The 25,498-nt window shown below is 41.2% G+C and overlaps 2 protein-coding genes and 1 long non-coding RNA gene across 21 annotated transcripts in view, besides 3 other annotated features; 2 read left to right on the top strand and 1 right to left on the bottom strand.

Moving 5' to 3' along the window:
- Positions 1-11,510, top strand: part of PDCL2 (phosducin like 2) — a 35,727-nt gene extending 24,217 nt beyond the window's left edge. For 2 of the 4 annotated variants that reach the window (NM_152401.3, XM_011534374.3), the window contains exons 5-6: positions 5,417-5,625; positions 11,318-11,510. In NM_152401.3, the coding sequence (NP_689614.2) occupies positions 5,417-5,625; positions 11,318-11,472 (364 nt within the window). In that variant the 3' untranslated portion in view covers positions 11,473-11,510. Of the gene's footprint in view, positions 1-500; positions 1,388-5,416; positions 5,626-11,317 lie in introns of those variants that run through there. The other 2 variants (XM_005265728.4, XM_047449616.1) reach the window with 2 other exon arrangements.
- Positions 11,511-20,139: 8,629 nt separating this feature from the next.
- On the bottom strand, positions 20,140-22,164 carry LOC124900704 (uncharacterized). The gene is made up of 2 exons (XR_007058122.1): positions 21,419-22,164; positions 20,140-20,413 (listed from the first exon to the last, which is right to left on the bottom strand). It is a non-coding gene; the product is annotated as an uncharacterized LOC124900704 (long non-coding RNA).
- Positions 20,845-21,214: a silencer, noted in NCBI's record as "silent region_15442". NCBI's record gives its function as "represses an Ori minimal core promoter by ATAC-STARR-seq in GM12878 lymphoblastoid cells {active_cell/tissue: GM12878}" and the evidence as "EXISTENCE:reporter gene assay evidence [ECO:0000049][PMID:35858748]".
- Positions 21,120-25,498, top strand: part of CLOCK (clock circadian regulator) — a 119,007-nt gene continuing 114,628 nt past the window's right edge. For 7 of the 16 annotated variants that reach the window (XM_011534411.3, XM_047416439.1, XM_047416437.1 and 4 more), the window contains exon 1: positions 21,413-21,547. The gene's annotated coding sequence lies outside the window, so the exon portion shown is untranslated. Of the gene's footprint in view, positions 21,248-21,412; positions 21,548-22,042; positions 22,577-25,498 lie in introns of those variants that run through there. The other 9 variants (XM_011534410.3, XM_047416432.1, XM_047416436.1 and 6 more) reach the window with 3 other exon arrangements.
- Positions 21,275-21,374: a silencer, noted in NCBI's record as "silent region_15441". NCBI's record gives its function as "represses an Ori minimal core promoter by ATAC-STARR-seq in GM12878 lymphoblastoid cells {active_cell/tissue: GM12878}" and the evidence as "EXISTENCE:reporter gene assay evidence [ECO:0000049][PMID:35858748]".
- Positions 21,495-22,124: a silencer, noted in NCBI's record as "silent region_15440". NCBI's record gives its function as "represses an Ori minimal core promoter by ATAC-STARR-seq in GM12878 lymphoblastoid cells {active_cell/tissue: GM12878}" and the evidence as "EXISTENCE:reporter gene assay evidence [ECO:0000049][PMID:35858748]".

The raw sequence follows: 25,498 nt of genomic DNA, 5'->3' as shown, positions 1-25,498 counted from the left end.
ACAGGACAACATGCCCCATAAAAGAAAATGCCCCATAAAAGTTATTTTATTATAACTAAAACTCTTGGTAGATTAATTTTTAAGTAGCTTTAAAGTCCTTAAAAGAATGTGTTGACCTAAAAGGAAGAGGCTGGGGCACAAAATATAATTTAAAGAGTTTACTTGAGCCAAAGTGAGGATAGCTGCCCAGAAGACTAAACCCAAGTACCTTTGGATATGATCTCCCTTTAGCCTTTGTTATGAGCAGGTTTGTGAAGACATAAAAGGAGGACAGGGAGTGGACTGATACAAAGTTGTTTGTCAGGAATTCTCTTTGGCTTAAGGAAATAACATTGATTAGTGACTGGCAATATATTGTTAAGCTATAAAAGTTACAGTGTCTGAAGTATTATTGGGTTGATTCATAGCTACTTGCAAGCAATAGCAAGCAGTTTCAAGAGATGAATACATAGGTCAAGGAGGGAGTAGGTTGTGATTCTCTCTTTTTATTTTTGATACAGGGTCTCACTGTGTTTCCCAAGCTGGAGTACAGTGACAATTGTAGCTCAATGCAGCTTTGAATGCTTGGGCTCAAGCAATGATCCTCCTGCCTCAGTCCTCCAAGTAGCTTGGACTACAGGTCTGCACCACCACATCTGGCCAGGTTTTAAAATTTTTTTGTAGAAATGGGGTATTGTTATGTCGCCCAGACCGGTCTCAAACTCCTGGCTTCAAGTGATCCTCCTGCCTCAGCCTCCCAGAGTATTGAGATTACAGGCGTGAACCACTGTGCCTGGCCTGCTGTCTCATTTTAATGACTCCGTGGGGGTAAACATTTAAAAGGACTTGCATTCTTCAGAGAAAAGTTATTTCCTGAAATCACACTTCCATATTACCTATACTATTTATTTGGTTAACCAGTTTGTAAATGCTGCTTGTAGATCTCACAAATAAGGATGAGAAACACGGACATTTATAAAACAAGGATCTGTTTGTGGTAAATATTATATACTGAAGTGGTTTACTGAATGTTTTTTCTGATCCTGTGTGGTTAGCAGAGTAGATATGGCTTCTAAGTAAAATTATCTAGCTTAATGGTTACTTCCAGATAAATTACTAGTTTTTAGAAATAATTTTTTAAAAATTCATAAAGAGGTTGAATGTGATTTAGTCTGCTTCAAATTGTTGTATGCTTTGATAGACTCAAAAAGAAGGATGTGGTTTCATAATACTTTAAGTAAACCTTCTCAGAAGGTTTTTCTGGGCCACTCTAAAGTAGTTACATATTAGTTTTCTGGACATTAAGAAAATACATTCCTGGGGCTGGGTGCGGTGGCTCATTGCCTGTAATCCCAGCACTTTGGGAGGCCGAGGCAGGCGGATCACTTGAGGTCAGGAGTTCAAGACCAGCCTGGCCAGCATGGTGAAACCCCATCTCTACTAAAAATACAAAAAAAAAATTAGCCAGGCTTGGTGGCGCATGCCTGTAGTCCCAGCAATGTGGGAGGCTAAAGCAGGGGAATGGCTTGAACCCGGGAGGCGGAGGTTCCAGTGAGCCAAGATCATTGCACTCCAGCCTGGGTGACAGAGCAAGACTCCAAATCAAAAAAAAAAAAAAAAGAGAAAAAGGAAAATACATTCCTGTGTTGGTATAAAACATATATTTTGAAAATTAATCTGTAGTAATCTAAATTTATAAAATATAACAGAAAATAATTGTGTTACAAATATTCTTTAGAAAACTTTAGTTTTTAACAGTGGATTTACTGGCCAGGCTCGGTGGCTCATGCCTGTAATCCCAGCATTTTGAGAGGCCGAGGCGGGCGGATCACCTGAGGTCGGGAGTTTGAGACCAGCCTGGCCAACATGGCAAAACCCTGTCTCTACTAAAAGTACAAAAAAATTAGCCGGGCATGGTGATGTGTCCCTATAATCCCAGTTACTTGGGAGGCTGAGGCAGGAGAATCGCTTGAACCTGGGAGGCAGCTCTGCAGTGAGCTGAGATCACATCACTGTACTCTAGCCTGGGCAACAGAGCAGGACTCCATCTCAAAAAAAAAAAAAAAAAAAAAAAAACAGAAAAATGGATTTACTTACAGCTTTTTAATATTGTAAAGTTGAAGGACAGCTGTTAATTTATGTTTTTGTAACCACACAATGGGTTCATTTTGCCTGCTGCCCATATAGAGTCAATTTATCAAGACAGGGGAATTGCAATAAAGAGTTTAATTCATGCAGAGCCAGTTGAACAGGAAACTAGAGTTTTATTATTACTCAAATCAGCCTCCCCCAAAATTTGGAGGCTGAGGTTTTTCAAGGACCACAGAATGGGTACTGCTGATTGGTTGGGAATGCAATCATAGGGATGTAGAAAATGATCCTTGATATGGTTTGGCTGTGTCCTCACTAAATCTCATCTTGAACTGTATTTCCCATAACCCCCATTTGTCGTGGGAGGGACATGGCGGGAGGTAATTTAATCATGGGGGCAGTTACCCTCATGCTGTTCTTGTGATAATGAGTGAGTTCTCATGAGATCTGACGGTTTTATAAGGGGCTTTTCCCCTTTTGCTCAGCACTTCTCATTGCTGCCACATGTGAAGAAGAATGTGTTTGCTTCCCCTTCTGCCATGATTGTAAGTTTCTTGAGGCCTCCCCAGCCATACTGAACTGTGAGTCAGTTAAACCTCTTTCCTTTATAATTACCCAGCCTTGGGTATGTCTTTATTAGCAGCATGAGAACGGACTAATACAGTCCTCATGTGTGCTAAGTCTGCTTCTGTATGGGGCCACAGTACTGCTTGGTGGGTCCAGGTAGAGGCATCAGTCATCAGAAATGCAAAAACCTTAAAAGATATATAAAAAAGACCAATCTTAGGTTCTACAATAGTGTTGTTACCTGCAGGAGTAATTGAGGAAGTTGCAAATCTTGTGACTTCCAGAATAATGGCTGGTAATTGTTTAAGTGTGTATCATAGCAGAGTTCAGGCTCCTCTCATCCTCCTAACCTAGTCTTCCCTTAGCTTTACAAAGGTGGTTTTAGTTTTGGGGAAAAGCTATTATCATTTAAACTGTAAACTGAAATTCTCCCAGAGTTAGCTTGGCCCAAGTCCAGGAATGATTCGGGGCAGTTTGGAGGTTAAAGGGAAGATGGGAGTTGGTTAGATCAAATCTCTTTCACTGTCATAATTCTCTCACTGTTAAAATTTTTACAAAGGTGGTTTCATTTTTAGCTACTTTCTATCAATTTTATAAAAGGGTGGTGTTTGTTTTTTGATTAGGCTCCTAAATTCTATAATTTCAATGGCTCTTTGCCATCAAATTGATAGGATTAGACCCACTTTTTATCGGAATGAAGGCTTAGCCTCCTTAAGGTGCCTTAGAGGGATCTAACTCAACCTGGGCCAGTAAGCCCAATGATTTAGCTTTAAGTCAGTCTTGTTTCTGGTTTTATTTAATCTTACCCTGTACCCCAATTCTATTTAATCTATGCCTGTACCCCAATTCTAATTTGGGGCTTTTATATTATTCTTATACCCAAGTGTATATTTTGAAGCTTGAATACCATAAATAGTCTCTTAACTTGTTTTGTGATGTTAGAGGTCTGCCTCATATTTTACAGCTCTTCTGGGGTTAAAATTCTGGCCCTGAGCCCCAACACCAAATTTGTTCCCCTACTACTTGCTGTCAGAACTGTCTTCGGGCAACCCTTTCTCCCTGCATCACAATCTGTTATGCAATATTCTCTTAATTCTATACTTTTCACTGCCACCACCAATACCTACCTGACTTCTGCCATTCACACTACTGACCCACCCCACAAATATCTGTTGTACCACTGACTGAGCTTTCATTCTGACAAAATTTCTAATGAAAATTATAAAATTTCTCTGAATTAGATATTAGTGGACTCATTTCACCTTGAAGGAAATCAAAACATTTTACCCTAAGATATACTTTCTTGACATATTTTGAGATGGGTGTTCAGAGAGCCAGCAAAACTGAAGTAACCCCGTAAAGCTGTCTTTTGTGGAGGGGATTTGCAACTGTAGAGAAAATCTGCATTCATGCAGTCAGGCCTTCTCTGAGGGCCTTCCCTTGTCTGATTTAGGACCAAAGTTAACTGAGAATCTGATGCCTTGAAAGGTCTAAAAGAAACATTTACCATCTATTCTCTTTGAGGGCTGCTACCTGTAAGGTTTCATCTACATAACAACACCACTTTTGCTATCCAGGCCTCCTCTTCTCTGCCTCCCATAGCCTGTCTTGTCACTGTAACCTGATTTACCCCAATAACATGTTTTTGGCCATGCCAGAGCCTCCATTCTTTCTGTAGCCTCAAGATGGCATATAAGCTTCTGTCCCCCATTGGAGGGTTTGGGTAATCACTTTGTGTTTCCTCTCTCATGTACATGTTAATAAACTTGTGTGCCTTTTCTCCAATTAATTTGCCTTTTGTTAGTTGATCTTTCAGTGAACCTTCCTTTGGAGGGCAAAGTTTTCCCTTGGCCCCTAAAACCTTGCATTTTTTAGTAGAGACAGGGTTTCACCATGTTGGCCAGGCTGGTCTCGAACTCCTGACCTCAAATGATCTGTCTATCTTGGCCTCCCAAAGTGCCGGGATTATAGGCTTGAGCCACTGCACCCGGCTCAAATTGAATATGTTTATGTAAAATGGAGAAAGAGTCTTTGGAGAAGGAAAGATGAGAAAACAGGAAAAGAGGGAAGCAGAATAACCAACAAAGATCCCAAGGGAGGTGGAAGGAATGTGGAATAAAGTAGAGGTGAAGGGATTCACTTGAAAGTTGGATAAACTGGGAGAAAAGGGACTAATCGATCAAGGAGTGTGATGAGAATTAAGTGATAAAGCAGGAAGAGCTGAGGTTGTGGTCACACTTCCAATCAATATTAAATTTCTGGTAAGGAATAGTTCTGGATAATGGGCCACCAGGATGTGGCATGGAGTGGGATTCCAAAGACTGGAAGAAGTTTGTTGGAGTCAGGAAAGACAGTTCTGGATATGGTAAACTCATTACATGGAAAGAAGCTCATGATGGCAGCAAGGGTTGGGATCCTTTTGTTTCAACTCAGAACTGCAAAGGATTTCCTAGAAGTGTCCTGTTTTTTTTTTTTTTTTCTACAAACTGGGTACCTGCTTGAACCAAACTGATGCTCAGTTGAATGTAGTTTCCCTAAGTTAAGCATCAGCTTGCCATGGTAGCTAGCTTCATTCCCGGGTTATAATGGTGCTTGCAATAAAAACCAGAGGACTCTACATACAGTTCTTCATTGCTAAAGGTAACAATAGAGGATGATAATAATGTGCTTTTATATTAATCTAAGATATATTTTTGCCATGGCGATATTTTACTTATTTCATTAGACTGAGATGAGTAGCCCATTTATTAAAGATTGTGTGTACTGTTTCTCTTTTTAGCATCCCAATGTGTTTGTTGGTTAACCAGCATCTTAGTCTTCTAGCAAGAAAGTTTCCAGAAACTAAATTTGTTAAAGCCATCGTGAATAGCTGTATTCAACACTACCATGACAATTGTTTACCAACAATTTTTGTGTATAAAAATGGTCAGATAGAAGCCAAATTCATTGGAATTATAGAATGTGGAGGGATAAATCTCAAGCTGGAAGGTAATGTTACAAATTTTGTTTATAAAAATGATAGGTGAAAACATCTGCAAACTAACAAGCATCCTGAAAGCTTACTTCCTTAGTACCAAGGTTTTTTCCTTGCTTCTAGTCTCTTTTTATATGCCTCCAGATTAATTTTCCTATAGTAATACTCTAATAACACCCCCTTGCTTAAAATCCTTAATAGTTCCCTGTCTCAAGTAAATTAAAAATTTAGAATCTTCTCCTTTAGAATCTCCACCCACCTCTCCAACTATATTTCTCAGTGCTTGCTAGTTTCTGTTCCTGTTAGGCTGGTCTTCAGCCACAACCCACAAATAGACATTACTCATTTGTGCCATCACACTTTTTTTACACATTCTCTGCTTGTACCTAATGTATTCTACCTTTCTCTATTATCCAAATCCAAAGTTTATTCCTTCATGAGTCTGTTCAATTTTTATTTACTGCATTATGTAATATTGGACCAATTCGTAATCTTTTTCTTCTCTACTGAATTTCTGTAGTGTATATTCTCAATGCATCTTTCTTTTCACTTATTAGCATGATATCTAATTTTGTTGATGAATCAATTCCCTTTGAATTTTATCTTCCTAAAAGGTGCATGGACCATGCCTCCTATTACTTTATTTTTCTTAGCACACAACACAAGACTTTCTATTTTTATCTTCTTTAATTGTTTTTACTTCCTAAGGTCATCTCTTTGATATATTCATTTTTTGGCACTGCTTTAACTCGATTTTACAAAACTAAAAATCATTTTCTCTCACCATTGTGTTAAAGTCATCATGAGTGGCTGTTTTCGGTTTTTGTTTTTTGTTTGTTTGTTTGTTTGTTTTTGAGACAGAACCTTGCTCTGTCACTCAGGCTAGAGTGCAGTGGCATGACCTTGGCTCACTGCAACCTCTGCCTCCCTGGTTCAAGCAATTCTCCCTGCCTCAGCCTCCCGAGTAGCTGGGATTACAGGTGGCCACCACCACACCTGGCTAATTTTTGTAATTTTTAGTAGAGATGGGGGTTCGCCCTGTTGGCCAGGCTGGTCTTGAACTCCTGATCTCAGGAGATCCGCCCGCCTCAGCCTCCAAAAGTGATGGGATTACGGACGTGAGCCTCTGCCCCTGGCTGGTTGTTTTCAATAGGTATTCTTTGACTCTGTCAGTCCCCCAAAGCTGTTTTTGCCCTTACCGAGACCTCTGATACTTTGTTTCAGAATTTTCCCATTTTTCTTTTAATCTTCTAAGGCCTTTCCTTGTTTCACCACCTTGTTTTTTGTAGCTTGGACCTTTTCTTTTTAATTAAAAAAATTAACAACATAAGAGTACATAAAAGAATACATAGAATAATAATATAGTAAGCATTCATGAAATCATTATTGTCTTCTCTGTTTGGGATGCTATAATAAAAATACTGTAAACTGGGTGGCTTATAAACAAGAAACTTTATATTAATGTCTCACAGTTCTGGAGGCTGGGAAGTCCCAGATCAAGGCGCCAGCAGATTTGGTGTTTTCTGAGGGCCTGTTCTTCATAGATGGTGACCTCTTCATTGACCTTACGTGGTGGAAGGGGCAAACAAGCTCCTTTTGGCCTCTCTGTTCACTCTTTCATTGATGAGTTCTCTGCCCTCATGGTCTAACCACTCCCAAAGTCCCCACCTCTTAATACCATCACCTTGGGCATTAGGATTTCAACATATGAATTTTGGGGAGACATAAACATTCAAGACCATAGTAATTACCAAAAGTAACAAATGTGAACATTTGTTTATGCTTGCTTCAGCTATTTTTTTGAGATAGCATCTCACTCTGTCACCCAGGCTGGAGTGCAGTGGCACAATTATGGCTCACTTGCAACCTTGACTTCTCAGGCTCAAGTAATCCTCCCACTTTAGCCTCCTGAGTAGCTGGGACTACAGGTGCCTGCCATCACACCTAACTATTTTTTAAGAAAAATTTTATAGTAGAGATGGGGTCTCACTTTATTGCCCAGGCTGGTCTCAAACTCCTAGGCTTAAGTGATCCTCCCGCATTTGACTCCCAAAGTGCTGGGATTACAAGCATGAGCCACCAAGCCTGGCCTGTTTGCTTATCTTTTAAAAACACATTGCAGATAAAGTTGAAGTTACCTGTATTTCCATACTTAGTCCTGTTCCCCTCCCTGCTTCCTTAGGGGCAAAAACTATCACGAATTTAGTGTGTATCTCGTCCCCCCCCCCTTTTTTTTTGAGACAGATATCAATGAAATTTATTGGTATATTTTAAACATTGTAGTAGAATATGCATAACATAACATTTACCATCTTAACTATTTTTAAGCATACAGTTCAGTGGAATTAAGCACATTCACATTCCATCACCATCATCCATCGCCAGAAGTTTTTTCATCTTACATAACAAACTCTGTACTCGTTAAAAACTCCTCAGTCTCCATTTGCTTCAGCCCAGGCAATCACCTTTTTAGATTCTGTCTCTATGAATTTGACAGCTCTAGATACCTCATATAAGTGGAATCATATAGTATTTGTCCTTTGTGACTGACTTATTCCACTTAGCATAATGTCCTCAAGTTTCATCCATGTGGTAGCATGTTATCAGAATTTTTTTCCTTTTTAAGTATATCTTGTGTATCCCTTCATCTGTTAATGGACACCTAGGTTGTTTTCACCTTTTGGGTACTGTGAATAATGCTGTTATGAACATGTGTGTACAAATAATATGCTCATCTCCGTTTTTAATTCTTCTGGGAATATACACAGAAATGGAATTGCTAGATGATATGGTAATTCTATTTTTAATTTTAAAAAGAACTATCTGGTCTTCTTGTTATGCTTTAACTTAAGTATATCTATAGAAATAGAAGGAATAATTAATTGCAAAATTGAAAGTATTTAATAAAGGGCATTATATTGTAGTATCATTCTGCAACTTGCTTTTTTAAAAATCTCAACCATAGTATTCAGAATCTCTTATTTCATATATGTCTGATTCAATAACTTTATCTCCTGTCTAGCATTCTATAATCAGCTATTCCTCAATTTATCATTCCCCTACTGTGTGAAATGTGAGTTTCCAATTTTCCCATTATGAACAATTCTGCTGTGACCATTGTTGTGCCCACCTGTAAAAATTTTCTCAAGGATATATGGAGAATTGTGGGATCATAAGGTATACACATTTTCAACTTCACTTGATAGTTGATAGATTGCTCTGTAAATGAAAGTATCAATTTATCCTTCCATCGGTGTTTGAAGATATACCCACATCTTCACCAGTTCTTGTTAATTTTAGACTATTGGTTTTTTGGTCAATCTGATGGATATGAAGTTGGTATCATTTCATTGTTTAAATGTGGATTTCCCTGATTACAAGTGAGGTTATGGATTTTTTCATATGCATTGGTCATTCTGATTTCCTCTCCTGTTTATATACTTTGTCCATTTTGTCATTTGTGTTTTTTCATTGATTTATAAGAGTGCGTGTGTGTGCATATGTTGTTTCATTGATTTATAAGAGTGGGTATGTGTGCATGAATGTGTATGTAAAGTTCTGGATACTATTTTTATAGTATTACTAATATATTCTCACCAGTTATGGCTTATCATTTCAATTGTCAGATAAAAGTTATGATTTGGCATAGTGAAAATTATTAATCTTTTTCTTTACTTTGCATGTTTCGTGCTTTCTTTTGAAAAGCTTTCTGTATTCCCAAGGTGAAAAATATATTCTCCTATACTTTCTTCTAAGAGTTTTAAAGTTTCATTTTTGAGCTTAGGTCTTGAATAACATTGGGCTTTTGTGTATCATTTGATGTAAGGTATTGTATTAGTCTATTTTCACGCTGCTAATAAAGACATACCTGAGACTGGGTAATTTATAAAGGAAAGAGGTTTAATTGACTCACAGTTCAGCATGGCTGGGGAGGCTTCAGCAAACTTACAATCATGGCAGAATGGGAAGCAAACGTGTTCTTCTTCACATGGCAGCAGGAAGGAGAAGAATGAGAGCTAAGTGAAGTGGGGAAAAAGCCCCTTATAAAACCATCAGATCTTATGAGAACTCACTCAGTATCAAGAGAACAGCATGGAGGTAACAACCCCCATAATTCAATTACCTCCCACCCACAACACGTGGGGATTATAAGAACTATTGTTCAAGGTGAGATTAGGGTGAGGACATAGCCAAACCATATCAGGAATGTGTCTACTTTTTTTCTGTAAGAAAATGCAATTGTTTCAACACCATTTATTAAAATTTCACTTCATTCTTTTTTTTTTTTTTTTGAGACGGAGTCTTGCACTGTTGCCCAACTGGAGTGCAATGGCGCGATCTCGATCTCGGCCCACTACAACCTCTGCCTCCTGGGTTCAAGCGATTCTCCTGCCTCAGCCTCCTGAGTAGCTGGGATTACAGGTGCCTGCCACCACGCCCAGCTAATTTTTTTTTTTTTTTTTTTTGTATTTTTAGTAGAGATGGAGTTTCACAATGTTGGCCAGGCTGGTCTTGAACTCCTTACCTCAGGTGATCCGCCCTCCTCAGCCTTTCGAAGTGCTGCGATTACAGGTGTGAGCCACCACGCTCGGCCAACTTGTTTAATTTTATAGGCTCACAGCTGGAGGGAAATGTGCCTCAGTATAAATTGTGTCTTGAGTCTTACCTATATCTGATTTAGATGAGACTCTGGACCTTTGAGTTGATGTTGGAACAAGTTGAGACTTTGGGGGCTACTGGGATAGAATGTATGTCTTTTGCATGTGAGAGGACATGAATTTTGGGGGCTGGGGTGGAATGGTATGATTTGAATGTGTCCCCCAAAATTAGTAATCCCCAGTAAAACAGTGTTGAGAAGTGGGACCTTAAGAGGTGATTAGGTCATGAGGTCTCTGCCCTCATGAATGGATTAATGTCATTATTGCAGAAATGGAGTTGTTGTCATGAGAATGGGTTTGTTTTAAAAGTGAGTTCAGCCCTGTCTTGCTCTCTCTCACTCACCTTCTCTAACTCACTTGAATTCTGCCATGGGATAACTTCAGCAAGAAGGCCCTCACCTGATGCAGGCCCCTCAACCATGTACTTCCCAGCCTCCGGAAGTATAAGAAATAAATCTCTGTTCTTTATAAATTACTCAAGTCACAGGTATTCTGTTATCACAAAACAGACTAAGACCCAGTTTAACCATAATTTCTCCCTTTCAGTATAACTTTGCTGTATCCAATGTGTATTTTGATATTGTAGCACTTTTACTGTCACCCGGTTCTAAAGATATCATCAGGCTGGGCGTGGTGGCTCACGCCTGTAATCCCAGCACTTTGGGAGGCCAAGGTAGGGGGATCACTTGAGGTCAGGAGTTCGAGACCAGCCTGGCCAACATGGTGAAACCCTGACTCTACTTAAAAAAATAACAAAACTTAGCTGGGTGTGGTGGCGTGCACCTGTAATTGCAGCTACTCAGGAGGCTGAGGCATGAGAATCACTTGAACCTGGGAGGTGGAGGTTGCAGTGAGCCAAGATTGTGCCACTGCACTCTAGCCTGGGTGACAGAGGGAGACTCTGTCTCAAAAAAGAAAAAAAAACCTATAAATAAATATATCATCATTTCCATGGTAATATTACTAAGAGTCAACTCTTGTTTCATATAGATGAAAAATTATTCATTTTTTCAAGATTTTTAACTGAATGATGGGTTATTTATTACAGAACTTGAATGGAAGCTAGCAGAAGTTGGAGCAATACAGACTGATTTGGAAGAAAACCCCAGAAAAGACATGGTAGATATGATGGTATCTTCAATTAGAAACACTTCTATTCATGATGACAGTGATAGCTCCAACAGTGATAATGATACCAAATAGAGAGAAATATTCAATAAATAGCTTTTAGTATATGTGTACTGAATGTTTTACTTATGACTGCTTTTATATTAGGGATCAGAAAAGTCATAAATAGATTTATTTTATTTTCATTTTTATATTAGAATTATGGCATATATGTCATTTTAAAAATTTCCAGGCATTTCAGAATATTCATTGCCTCTGAAAAAAATAGTATTTGGCGGCCAGGCGTCGTGACTCACGCCTGTAATCCCAGCACTTTGGGAGGCCAAAGCGGGCAGATCACCTGAGGTCGGGAGTTCAAGACCAGCCTGACCAACATGGAGAAACCCCCGTCTCTACTAAAAATACAAAAATTAGCTGGGTGTCTTGGCACGTGCCTATAATCCCAGCTATTTGGGAGACTGAGGCAGAAGAATCGCTTGAACCCAGGAGGCAGAGGTTGTGGTGAGCCGATATCACGTCATTGCACTCTAGCCTGGGCAACAAGAGCGTAACTCCATCTCAAAACAAAACAAAACAAAACAAAAAAACAGAATTTGTGTTAAGCCTTTGGTATTTTTCTGTGGTTTATCCTTTTTCTAACACATGTTGGACAAAAACACAAATGTTACAAGACCTTTCTTGCTTACTCACTTCCAAAGAGAACTACAAATTAAAGCAATGTAAGAAAACCATGAAATTTTATTTAAGTCAACACATTTTAAAATCTAGAGACTTAAGTAAAAAGTTTTAAATTTATGGCCATAATGCTTTTTCTTTGGAATCCCTTACCTATTAAAACATTAACCACTTAATAGCATAATGCAATTAATAGATTCTGAAAAGTACATAAAAAACATCTCTATTCATTATTATCGTTCTGAGTAGTTACTATTAAGTTAGAAAATTACTAAGTATTCTCATTAATAGTTAAAGTATAGAATCATTAGAACACTACACCATGTAAGTTTCTAAATCCTGAGCAGAGGTGAGAAAAATATATTGTAGGATGACTTATATTTTAACAGTAATCACAGAAGAATTCATCATGAGAAAATATACATTAGTACACTGCAGAAGGCCTATAGGATGTTTCGTCTTGGCATAATAATGAACATCACTTTTAGAGGAAAGGTTGGTAAATCCAGCATATAATAGTTCAGTAACAGATTTTTTTCTACTTTGTTTGTATTCATGATCCATAATTCTCATTATGGATGTTCACTGATATTTGTAAGAGAATCTAGACTAGGTTTAAATGCCTAGATTACAAAAATAAATTGGTGAGAATTGAGGCAGTTGAACATTGAGTCAAGAAAAGGCTCTTTCTTGCTATTGGTGGGGGTTTAGGGATCTTAGAGGCTACAGAGAATCATGAAGTGGAAGGAAAGTTAAATACACATTTGAGTAAGGTAATGAGAATTTATTTCACCAGGTGAAATCAATTGATCTAATTCTGGGAAGGATTAGGAAAATTCTTCTGAGATACATCTTGGGACTAGATGGAGGAAAGTTCAGAGAGGTCACACACAGTGGTCTTTATTACAGCATTACACACACTTCAGGTAATTATCTAGTTTTATTTATCCAATTCCTGAACCTTCCAGAAATGGATGGATAAGTTACTATTCAGGATAAAAACAGCCGTGGAAATGAAAGGAAGAGCCATCTTCTAAAGTTACAATGTAACTCTAATGCCTATAATGCATATAACATCTAATGCATATAACCATATTTATCAAAATAACATTCATATACATTATTTTCCCCTCCAATTGAAACCAAATGCAGAAATTCCCCCAAATGTAGTCTTTTAAAAAGTAAATACATATTTGTTTTCTTTTTAAAGTTAAAAGAACAAAGGAAATAATAATAGTATTTAGGAGAGCTTAAAAAAGATATCTATTTCCCTTTGTCTTAACTCAGATCCACCAGGTGGCAGTAAGTTTTTACCCACAAACAGTTCTGGAGACTTTGACATTTGTAAAAATAATAAAATTATATCATGTTAGAACTGACTGCTTGTGATTTCAGCCCCGCTCTTTAGCAAAGTGCACACACACATTCTTTTAGCAAGGACTGATTGATGCCTACCAACACAGGTCACTACTACTTCCATACAGTGCTTCATGTATACATTCTCATTTGACTAGGGTAAAAATATTTGTCAGGATATGCAGAAATTATTTAATATGTAATATTGTTCCCCATTTTACTGAATGAATATTCAATGGGGTACAAAGTTAGTTTTTTTAATTGCCAATATTCAGTCATTTTTTGATCTATAAAAATTGATATTTTATCCTAATATTTTTGTCTATTTTTGCCAAGTGTGCTCTATTGAATCTCCCTTCTCTATAGTGCCTTTTTTGTCAAAATGTGGTAAATGTGGTCCTAGAATCAGCAGCATTCCTAAGGAGCTTGTTAGAAATGCAGAATCTCTGGCCCCATCCCAGACTAACTGAATCATAATTTTCATTTTAATGAGATCTCCAGGTGACACGCACATTAAAATTCGAGAAGCACTACACAGCAAATCCTTTAAAGACAACCTGAGCAACTTCTTTTACCCATCCCACAGTGTGGGTTATTAAGTCTGTCTAGTTGAACACTCCAGTGTCAGTTCCAAGCAAACATTCTCTGGCTGAACTCGTGACTTAAGCAACTCTGAAGATGAAAGGTGGGGTTTTTAACCAGTTTTTCCCTCTCCTTTTGAGGCAGGAGAATAAGGTCTGGAGGCAGGGAACCTAAGGCTGTTTCACTCCAACTTCTTAGAGCCAGATTTAAAGGAAAACCCTAACTTGCCATGCCTAAGTAACAAAAGGACCAGAGGCTACTTTGCAAACCCCCACCTTCTGTGCGTGGCAGATGGGAAATTGGCTGTCTGCAACCAATCACACTGCTTGCTGGCTGAGAGTTCGTTTGCAACTTTGTAACTTCACCTTAGCCTCTGATTGCTTGCTTTTGGCAACCACTCAGACCAATTGCAAGCCACCACTTCATGAAATGAAGTGGCCAATGGGAAGCCTCTAGCGGGTATTTGGACCGGAGAAGATTCTGAGCCACTACTCACGCCGGCTCCCACACTGTGAAGTGTACTTTCATTTTCAATAAATCCCTGCTTTCGTTCTTTAGTTGCTTTATTCTTTCTTTGCGGGGCGTTTTGTCCAATTCTTAGTTCAAAACGCAAAGAACTTGGACACCTTGCAGTCAAGACCCTCTATCAGTAACACTTTCAGGGCCTATCCCTCTAGTGTTGGGGACTGGGAGAGAGAATAGGGATGAAAGGGATAAATTTTCCTTAACTGTACAATGAATACTGCATCCAAATGTTCACTCTTTAATGGGGCACATTGAGTTCTCCTAGAAACTCTGAAACAGCTTCCCAACTGCACAGTCCCTCGATCAACACAGGCGATGGAGCAGTCTTAGCTCTATCTCTGCTAACTCTCTTAGTTTCCTCTCCCAGAAGTAAATCCAGCCTCTTGCTGCTAGAATTTCTTTCCCCCTTCAGGATCAAGATAGTTCAAACCTGGACAGCATTTTCTACGCAGCATCGATTGACCCATGAGAAACTTACACATCCTCGGTATCCTTGCTATACCACATGGTAGATGTTGCAGATTGCTTTATTTCAGCCCACTCCCTGGCCAGCTATTTCTCCAACTCTTTTCCTGTTTCATGTAGGTACAAGGCAATATCAGCAAGTTTGATAGTGAATGAGATGCCACTCTCCCTCCCTCATAGTCACCTAGCTGATTCTGTTGGAGTCTTGTTCACTTGGGATAGGGTGAGGCATAAAAAGGAAAGGAAAAACCATAGTACACCCCAGGAACCTGGCTTCAGTGATTCTGTCAGGTGTTTTTCCTCTTGCCAAGTGTTGAACTTATGTGGTCTGAGGGTAGAGAGTTGGAGGTTTTGGCTATGGTAGATCCCTTTTTGTCCAACTTTTATCCTTGGGTGAAGGAGTGGGTATCTGACCCCAAATGTTGGCAGCTGTTTAGAAGTTGAGGTACTTCATGCACTTGTACCCTATTTTAGATTTCAGTCAGCATCTTTTTTACAAGTATTAGCTGTATCTATTAGTGTTACATATTCTTGCTGGTTCTCAAGTATTCAATCACTAGAACGGTATTAGTCACATCATATTTCACTGACTGATTTTAGTTTGCTTCTCTTTTGTACTTTTGAGAGGTGAAGCCAGCTGGGCTTCTGGGTTGGGTGGGGACTTGGAGAATTTTTGTGTCTAGCTAAAGGATTGTAAATGCACTAATCAGCGCTCTGTGTCTAGCTAAAGGATTGTAAATGCACCAGTCAGCACTCTGTAAAAACGCACCAATCAGCATTCTGTGTCTAGCTAAGAAGGATTGTAAACACACCAATCAGCACTCTATGTCTAAAGCACTCTGTGTCTAAAGGATTGTAAACGCACCATCAGCACTCTGTAAAATGGACCAATCAGCATTCTGTAAAATGGACCAATCAGTGCTCTGTAAAATGGACCAATCAGCAGGATGTGGGCGGGGCCAAATAAGGGAATAAAAGCTGGCACCCAATCCAGCAGCAGCAACCTGCTCGGCCCCCCCTTCTACACTGCGGAAGGTTTGTTCTTTCACTCTTAACAATAACTCTTGCTGCTGCTCACTGTTTGGGTCCACACTACCTTTATGAGCTGTAACACTCACTGTGGGGGTCTGCAGCTTCATTCCTGAAGTGAGCGAGACCATGAACCCACCAGGAGGAACAAACTGCGGACACACCACCTTTAAGAGCTGTAACACTCACTGTAAAAGTCTGCGGCTTCACTCCTGAAGTCAGCAAGACCACAAACCCACTGGAAGGAAGAAATTCTGGACACATCTGAACATCTGAAGGAACAAACTCCAGACACACCATCTTTAAGAGCTGTAACACTCACTGCAAGGGTCCATGGTTTCATTCTTGAAGTCAGTGAGACCAGGAACCCACCGGAAGGAATAAATTCCGGACACACTTTCATGCACATTACTAAGGCTACCCCTTGACAATAATCTGCCTACAGTCATAATTTGGGACAAAGATGATTCTAAAAATCATCTTTCTGGCATTTCATTCACTCATTAAATCATTCATTCACCTCAGGCATTGGTGGTTTTGTTTGTTTGAGACAGACTTGCTCTGTCACCCAGGGTGGAGTGCAGCAGCACGATCTGGGCTTACTGCAGCCTCTGCCTCCCAGGTTCAAGTGATTATCCTGCCTCGACTGACTCTTGCTCTGTCACCCAGGCTGGAGTGCAGCAGCACGAACTGGGCTCACTGCAGATACTGCCTCCCAGGTTCAAGTGATTTTCCTGCCTAAGCCTCAGACTATAGACATGCACCACCACACCTGGCGAATTTTTTTGTATTTTTTAGTAGAGACAGGGTTTCACCATGTTGGCCAGGCTGGTCTCAAACTCCTGACCTCAAGTGATCTGCCTGCCTTGGCCTCCCAAAGTGCTGGGATTACAGACTTGAGGTACCACACCCAACCTGGTTTTTATTTTTAAATTTTAATTAATTTATTTTAGTGATGGGGTCTTGCTACATTGCCCAGGCTGTTCCTTAACTCCTGGGCTCAAGCAATCCTCCCGGCTCAGCTGGAACTACATGTACGTGTCACTCTACCCAGCTCACCTGAGGTATTGAAATGGATGCTACACGTATAGTGGCAAAGAAAACACATGGTTCTCGCCCTTCTGGAGTTTATCTTGTGGTGGTAGGGAAAATAGTTAATAAGAAAACAAATATCATATATACATATAACTAATATATACATAATTTAAACTTAAGTATTATGGGGGAAACTGGACACAACAGAAGAGAATAACTTTGGATATTATTGGTGGTGGGGGGGCAGGTGGGGTGTTGGAGGGAGACCTACTTAAATAGGGTAGTTAGATCTTTGAGATGTGATGGTTGAGAAGGAGCCAGCCATGAGAAAAGGTAGGAGGGGTCCAGGCAAGGGCACAGCATGCATGAAAGCCTGAGAGCAGAGATAAATTAGCAAAGAAATGAAAGGCAGTTTCTGGGTTGGAGTGTCACAGGAAAAGGAAAAAAATGGTAAGACATGAGGTTGGAGAGGTAGGGAGGGGCCAGATCAAACAGGTTATTGTGACCATAATTAGGAATTTGTATGTAATGGGAAATGACAAAAGGGGTTTTAGAAGAAAATAATGTGACTTCACTTATATTTTCAAAATAATTTGACTGCTCTGTGGAGAATAGATTGAAAGAAGCATCCAAGATATTTGTGATACAGAAGAAGAGACATCAGGTAGATAAACAGACGTGTGTATAGAGCCCAAGGGAGAAGTGAAGGCTGGAGTTAAAAATCTGTGAGTCATTTCAACTATTCTTAGGGTTCCAACAAGAAATTGTAAAGATTTACAACCACCATCGTCACCACCTAGCCTTTATGTAGCAGTTTAATTTACCTTTGATCATCACAGTTCTCTGAAATGCCTAGTCTTGTAACTTTACAGATAAGTACCTGAAGCTCAGAGGAATTACTTGATTTGCTCACTATCTCTCAGCATGAGTCAGAATTTAAGCCAAGAGTTTTGACCACAAAGTCTATAATACTACCTCAACTATGAGGCAGGGTTTTGTAGTTCCATTTTAAAGGGATTAGAAAGAATATGAGTAACTGAATAAACTATGCAAGCTTTAAAAAAATACTTAACCTTATATTCTCTATTAAGCATATCTTAAAGCTTCCTGTTCTCCAATTCACCTTAAAGTATGGTAGTAAAACTAGGAATGTCAATGAATGGATGAGTTACTATGAAAGAACAGATATGACTTTGTGACTGATGGGACATAGGAGTTAGGGCAAGAATTAGAGCAAAAGAGACATGAAAATTACCCAAAAAGGAACATCATTGACAAGAATAGCCAACATTTCTATGGGATTTCTTATGTACCAGATAAAATTACACACACACAGACACACACACTGTCTCGGTTAAGCTATGAGATAGGATTGTAATTATCCCATTTTAAAGATGACGAAATTAAAGAACAGAGAAATAACTTGCTTAAAGTCATGCAGAATATTAGTGGTGAAGCTATGATTTAAATCCAGGCAGTTAAGATCCTAATTTTGTACTCTTAACCACTATGATACGTTGCCTACCAACTGGGGGAAATCAGTTGACAGAGGAGTTGGAAATACTCAGTTTAAATGATAGCAAGGTTCACAAGAAAGGGTGAACAGAATATCTGAAATTATGTTTAAGGCTATGGAATATAAATTTAGGAGCTATGAAATTATGAGGCAGGATTTTTGTTTTATGGAAATGTGGGATCTGGAAGTTGGAAAAGCTATTGGAAATATCCAATACAGGCTGGGTACAGTGGCTCGCGCCTGTTAATCCCAGCACTTTGGGTGGCTGAGGTGGGTGGATCACTTGAGGCCAGGAGTTCAAGACCAGCCTGGCCAACATGGTGGAACCCCATCTCTACTAAAAATACAAAAATTAGCTGGTGTGGTGGTGGGAGTCTGTAATCACAGCTACTTGGAAGGCTGAGGCACAAGAATTGCTTGAACCCGGGAGGCAGAGGTTTCAGTGAGCTGAGATCATGCCACTGTACTCCAGCTGGGCAACAGAGCAAGACTCTGTCTCAAAAAATCTGTCTCAAAAAAAAGACATATCCAGTACATTTTTTCTTTTCTTGGAGAGAATGTGGGAGAAAGGAGAAGCTGTGAACTGAACCATGGGAAATGTTCAAGCAGTGAGAGAGGACTGAGCAGAAAAACGGGGGATTATCAACAGGTCTTGGTAAATAATTAAATACAGTGAAAGAGGGAGGAGTCAAAGATGGACATGGTTTGATCTTGGTGACTGAGAGGACAATGAAATCATTAAAAAGGGCAAAGGTATTTTGAAGATAATATGTTCTAGATGATGGGGAATATAAGGAGGGATCAGTGTCTCTAGAATAAAATTCAAAAATCCATCCTAGGGAAAGCATTCAAGCCCTCTCTTGTCTGGCTGCAACCTACCTTATCAGTATTAATAACTTTGCCTCCGTCTTGCTACCTACCTCTTGTCAGTCGGGACTCTTGATTACATGTGAAAGAAAACCTCTCACTGGTTTAAGCAATAAAACAGATGCAAGAATTTACTGACTGGTTTAACGAAATTTCCAGAGGAATCTAATCTACATTTGTTTCCAGGCCTCAAACATGTCTTTAGGCCAAACCTGTCTTCAAATCTGCTTTTTTTCCGTGTTGCCTTCTTTCTCAGAATTCACGTGTGGAAAGATGGCTCCAGGTCTCCATTCTCCCAGATTTAAACCCATTGGTAAAGACGTAACACCCTTCTTAGGAACCGTAGTTTGCAACCGAGGATTAAACTCAAATATGCCTTCCCCTTGTGTCCTGCTCAGACCATATGGACTGAGAGTGGATAAATGATAGTTCTTCAAAAGAAATTATCAGAATAGGGAATGAATGCTGAACAGGCAAAAATGTCGACCAAAATATCTTCTGCTATATGATGGGGTAAATTAACAAATCATGTTTTCCCACTCCTGAAAGAAAAATCCTTAGGTGCAGGATCAAGGATCTGAATAAGTGCTTCAGTTTGATGTTCTTTTGCCCAGAGCATACAGCAAGAATTGAAAATGTTTACTGAGGTGACTGTTACTTTAAAGGGAGGATTTTACGGCCAGAAAAGTGCATTTTTTGAAAGAAAAAGATGGCTTTTATTTCAAATCCAAAAGATATTCATTAAAACATAGGAATTACTAGGAATTAAGACTGTAAAGATCTCTTTTCCAGTAGAAGCACTGAAATGTGCTTTCTCATGTGGACCAAATGTGCCTTAACGCATCAAGATAAGTAATTTCCCGAAGATAAGTAGTAGTCACACGTTGTTCCAACGAGGAAATCCATGCAAATTAGGGTCCTGGTTTATTTCTGATGCTTCATTCTCCATCTTCCATTACACTGTCACTTGATTTTTAATAAAAGGGCAAGGGAAAAATCTCCAAATGAGCAAATAAATCCCGACCTCCTTTCGCTTCCCTCCTCTGGCCGAGGGCGCATGCCCTGTCTCCCCAGGCCCACCCACCAAGAAGAAGCAACCCAAGCCGCGCTCCCTCAGGAGATGGGAGAAGATGTTACTGGCGGTCCAGGCGCCTTTGCAACTCTTCTCTCCCAGCACCAGGAGAGGAAACACGAATGATGCCACTGGGGGAAAAAGTCTCCTGCCAACACCCGAAAAATCTAAGCTGGCGTCGGCAGTGTTTTGCTTTGGAAGGGAGAGCGGGTTCCTTTTCTGGCCTCTGGATCCCTCATCCGGCAGGAAGCTCTTCTTCCTCCTCCTAGCCCCCGGCATACGGGGGGAAAGCCAAAGAGCCTCCAGGACCTAAGGCTAGCGCTCTGCCGGCCGGCCGCGCCCTCCACCCGACCAGGCCCCGCCTCCCCGGCTTTCTAGTAACCGGCGCCGTTCCCGGCCGGGGCAGGGAACGGTGCGCCTGCAGAGCCAGATTTCGGCCCAAGGGGCGCGGGAGTCTCTTCGGGCGTCCGGGATCCCCTGGCGCGGCTCCGTGCTGCCTAACGGGGCAAGTCGCATGCGCACCGAGCCGCGCTGGGGAAAGGGAGAGTGAGGGGAGGGGCGAGCGCAGAGCCTCCGCCGGCCGTCTGAGCCCGCGGGGTCGCTGACGACGCATGCGCCGGGAGGGGGCGCAATCACGGACTCGGCTTGCGGCTGCCGGTTTAAAAAAGGAAACCCCGGAGAGCGAGAGCGCGAAGGAAATCTGGCCGCCGCCGCCGCGAGCGCTCCCGGTGAGAGGCGCCCGCCCGGTGGGCCCAGGGCCTGCCGAGTGCCGGTTGGCTTCCTTGGCGGCGCATGCGCGCTCCTGGGCTGGTGGAGGAGGGGAAGGGAAGGGAGGGGGAGGAGGAGCTGGCCACAGGAGCGGCGAATTTTTGGGGGGGTGGGTGGGGGGCGCCACTCACAGCCCCAGGTGCTGCTGGAGGTGGGAGCCGCGGCGCCTCCTGGACACAGGCGGGGTAGTGGTTCCGAGTCACCGCAGCGGGAGACCTGGGTGGGGGAGGGAAGAAGCCGGAGCCGCCGCAAGCCACACGGTGAGGGCGCGGGGAAGGGGAGGGAGCGGGGGGCGGCGTGTGTGGGGCCGGGGGGCGGCGGCCAAGGGTGGGGAAGGCGGGAGCTGAAGCCCAAGTTTGGCGTGTCGTTCTAGTGTGTCTTTTCCCGGGACTTCGGGCCGAGGCCCGCCCTGCCTGAGAGGCCCTCTGGGGCAGCTGGGGTTACCTGCGGGGCAGGGGCGGGAGTGGGGTGCACGGCGGGGCCGGGCGGCTTGAGGGCGCCCGGAGCTGCGGCCGATTCCAGCAGCTGGGAGGCGGGGAAAGACGGGGACCGGGTGCCGAGAGAGCTTTCGCTGGGGACCCGCTAGGCCTTGTGACCCACTTTATTCCTGTCACCACTCGGGCACGTTTGGAGCAGCGCCCAATGGGGCGCCGGGGCGGCCAGCTCCTCCGGGGAACCCCCGCCCTCCCGGCGCCCGGCCCGCGTGCCGCAGTCCGCAGTCCGAACGGCCGCCGTTGCCGGCCGCGGGCTGGTTCCGTTAGTGGTGGTGGTTCCGGGGTTCCGTTCCTAGGCAGCGCGCGGCTATTAGCGTCTGACTCCAGCGACCGCGCGCGGGTTCGAGGGTTGGCGGCGAGGCGCTCGGTTTCTCTTCTTCCGTCCACCCGCGCTTCCCGTTCCCCGTCACCGCCGCTGGCGTTTGTAGATTTCTTTCCGCCAGTGAAGCTGGGTTTTCTGGAGTTGGCTCTGGCGCTCTGGCCCCTGGAGTGTAATTTCCTACACGCAGCGCCGCAGAGTTTATATTCTTTGAAAGTGTTTGTAGCTTTGTAGAGGTCCTCTTGTTGATGGTAGGTGAGCCTAATTCTGCAAGATAAAAGCCTAGTCTCTGACCTGGCAGATGAAAGATCAAATCAGATTGTGGTTTCCTGCTATTAGAATGCCGTGCTATTAGACTTTAAGGCTTTTTAGCCTTCTTTAAAAAATAAAAAAATTTTTACAGTGGAAGAAAAGCACAAGAAGTAAACTTTTACAGTCGTTGATTTGACTATAACGCTGATCCCCCCAAATCAAAGGTAATTTCACTTTGAAGATTGCGTTCTGATTTGTAGCTTTAAGCGATTAGAGAAAATTGTGCAATATTCCCCTCTACCTGTTTGAAAATAAACATTCTTAAAAGGATGTAATTTAGATAATGAATTGCTTTCTCTGAAACTTATCCCTTGGGACACCTCAAATCTGATTGGTTTTCAAAGCTTGGGGGAAGGAAATTAATTCCTGTGATAAGTGGTTGGCTGAACAGAATGTCTTGAAAGGTTAGCCTGTAGCATTAGGAGAAATACCTAATGTAAACGACGAGTTAATGGGTGCAGCACACCAGCGTGGCACATTTATACATATGTGACAAACCTGCACGTTGTGCACATGTACCCTAGAACTTAAAGTATAATAATAAAAAAAGTAAAAAAAAAAAAAGTTAGCCTGAAGAAAGCAGACTGAAAATGTTCTAAAGCTAGGCGTAATCAGTTATGAAAAAAGAATAAGGAAGCTTTCTACGTACTAACATGCAAAGATTGCAAAAATTTGCTATGAAGTGAAAAAAGCAAGGTGTAGCGGTACTTTGTGAATAGTGTGTTACATCTTAAGGGCGAGGTGTAATAATACAAGTTTATGTTTGCTCTTTATATAAAGAAATTATGGGAGGATTTAGAAAACTAACAATAGAGGAGAGGGAGAAATAGTCTGAGGGAATGGTGGGAAATGAGATGTATTATGTGTATGTCTTCATGTTTTCAAATTTTTGTGTGTATTATGGACTCATAAACTGGATTAAACAAAAATCCTCCTCCCCCAAATAATTTGTGTGATTTTTGTTGCCTAATTTATGGTGATTTGAGTCATTTTCAATATGATTGCTTTTCATATTTTTTAGGAAAATCAACTAAAAAGGAAGTTTGGGATACCTTTTATGACTATTTACACTTTAATTTTTAAGATTGCAGAGGTCACAGGCATTTATCTTTTAAAGATGTTTAGTTATATCTTGCCTTGCTAAAATATATGACTGTTTACATTTGGCATTATGGCTGGATTATGCTGCTTTCAGAGTGTAGTTTGTGTTTCCCCCTCCTCTTTTTTTCAGGAGTCATAGATGGGTAAAATTTTACTTAACCCCAAAGTTTCATGACAAACAATTATGAGGAGGATGTGAACATTCCCTTAAAGTGCTAGTAAACTTGATTGTCTAGGTTAGTTTGCTTTTCAGGTTGGGAAACTTTTCTTTCTTTTGAGGAAATCAAACATGAACCCCAGTGAAAGGTAAATTGGGGTGTGTGTGTGTGTGTGTGTGTGTGTGTGTGTGTCTGGTTGTTTCTCATGAAAGTGTACAAAATGAACATTTTTTTAGGACTGGATTGTTGAAAACCTGTTTAATGAGGTTAAGACTGCACAGGCAGCTGTTAGATGAGATATAATTTTGGGAGGGGACCCTCAAACTCCCCCTGGTGACTAATATTGTGTAATGAAAGTAGTGAATAGTGAGTAATGGATTGCAGTTGCTGTGGGCATTTTTGTAATATTACCAGTATTCCTTTTTATTTTGTAGGATAGGATACTTATATTATTTCTGTTTGATATGTAGGTTTTTCTAATAGACTTCTGCAAAGTGTCACTTATTTTTCATTTGAATTCCATGTGGGTCCGTTCAATCTTTTTTAAAAATGGAATTACATTTCAATTTTTTTTTTTTTTGGAGACGGAGTCTTGCTCTGTCACCAGGCCGGAGTGCAGTGGCACGATCTTGGCTCACTGCAACCTCCGGCTCCCAGGTTCAAGAGATTCTCCTGCCTCAGCCTCCCGAGTAGCTGGGACTCTTATTTTTAAAATTACAGAAGTAAATTGATGCTCATAAAAAGTTAATACAGTGTATATATAATAAGTGACAACCCCTTTACATCCACTTCTAGCTCACATTCCTCCCCAGAGGAATCTAGGGAGCACAGCTACTCGTATACCCTTGACTGAAGGGTAACACTGTTAACACCACTGTATGATCTTGTAGATCTTTTTCTGTGCATTTGCAAATATGTTCTTTTCAGCCTTGAAAACGGAATCATCTTGAATGATCATCTGCTTTGCCATTTTGCCTCCAGTATGGGCTCTGTTATTACCTACAGGACAGGGACATGACTTGGAGCCTGTCAGAAAGCTTAACATCTGATATAGACCATAGGTCATACTCATCTTTTCACTAGTGAGGGGCCAATTGTTATGGAGGCATTTGCAGAGTTTGAAGGGAGGTCATACTGATGTGAGTTTTATCTGGTATAGATTTAATTCACTGTAAACTTCGAGCGGCCGAGGTGGGAGAATGGCTTGAGCCCAGGATTTCAGGACCAGCCTGGGCAACATAGTGAGACCTCTTTGCTACAAAATTTTTTTAAAAAAAATTAGCCAGATGGGGTGGTGCACACCGTAGTTTCAGCTAATTGGGAGGCTGAGGTGGAGGGATCACTTGAACCCAGGAGTTCAGCCTTGGTGACAGAGTGACACCCTGTTTTAAACAAAACAAACCCAAAAGGTGCTTGGATTCCATGAATTTTATAGGACTCTTTAGAGTCCAAGTTTTAGGGTTTTCTTTGGCTTTTGACTTGATCGATAGTGTATGGGTTAAACTTTGATTTTTTTTCCTTCTGTACTTGCTTGCAGACTCCTACGAAAGCCTCGTAGATTACACCAGCCTCTTGAGCTCCTCTGAAGTGAACCTAAGCAGACTGTCCTTAACTAAGGGACACTGATACTGACTTGGATAAAATTTAGCTTTTGAAGGGAAAAGGAGAGAAGAGGCTCTTTGGTTTGGCTTTTGCTTAACTGACAACAAACAACTAATATGCACTACCCTCTCCTCCATCCATCCCTCTGGTTCTCTAATAGTTCCAGAGGGTTTGTTTTAAACCAGGTTACAAAGAATTACCAAACCTTAATTCTTTTTAGCTGAT

Source organism: Homo sapiens, chromosome 4, assembly GCF_000001405.40.
Source record: "Homo sapiens chromosome 4, GRCh38.p14 Primary Assembly".
Taxonomy (NCBI): domain Eukaryota; kingdom Metazoa; phylum Chordata; class Mammalia; order Primates; family Hominidae; genus Homo; species Homo sapiens.
This window is presented reverse-complemented; position numbering and strand designations above follow the sequence as displayed.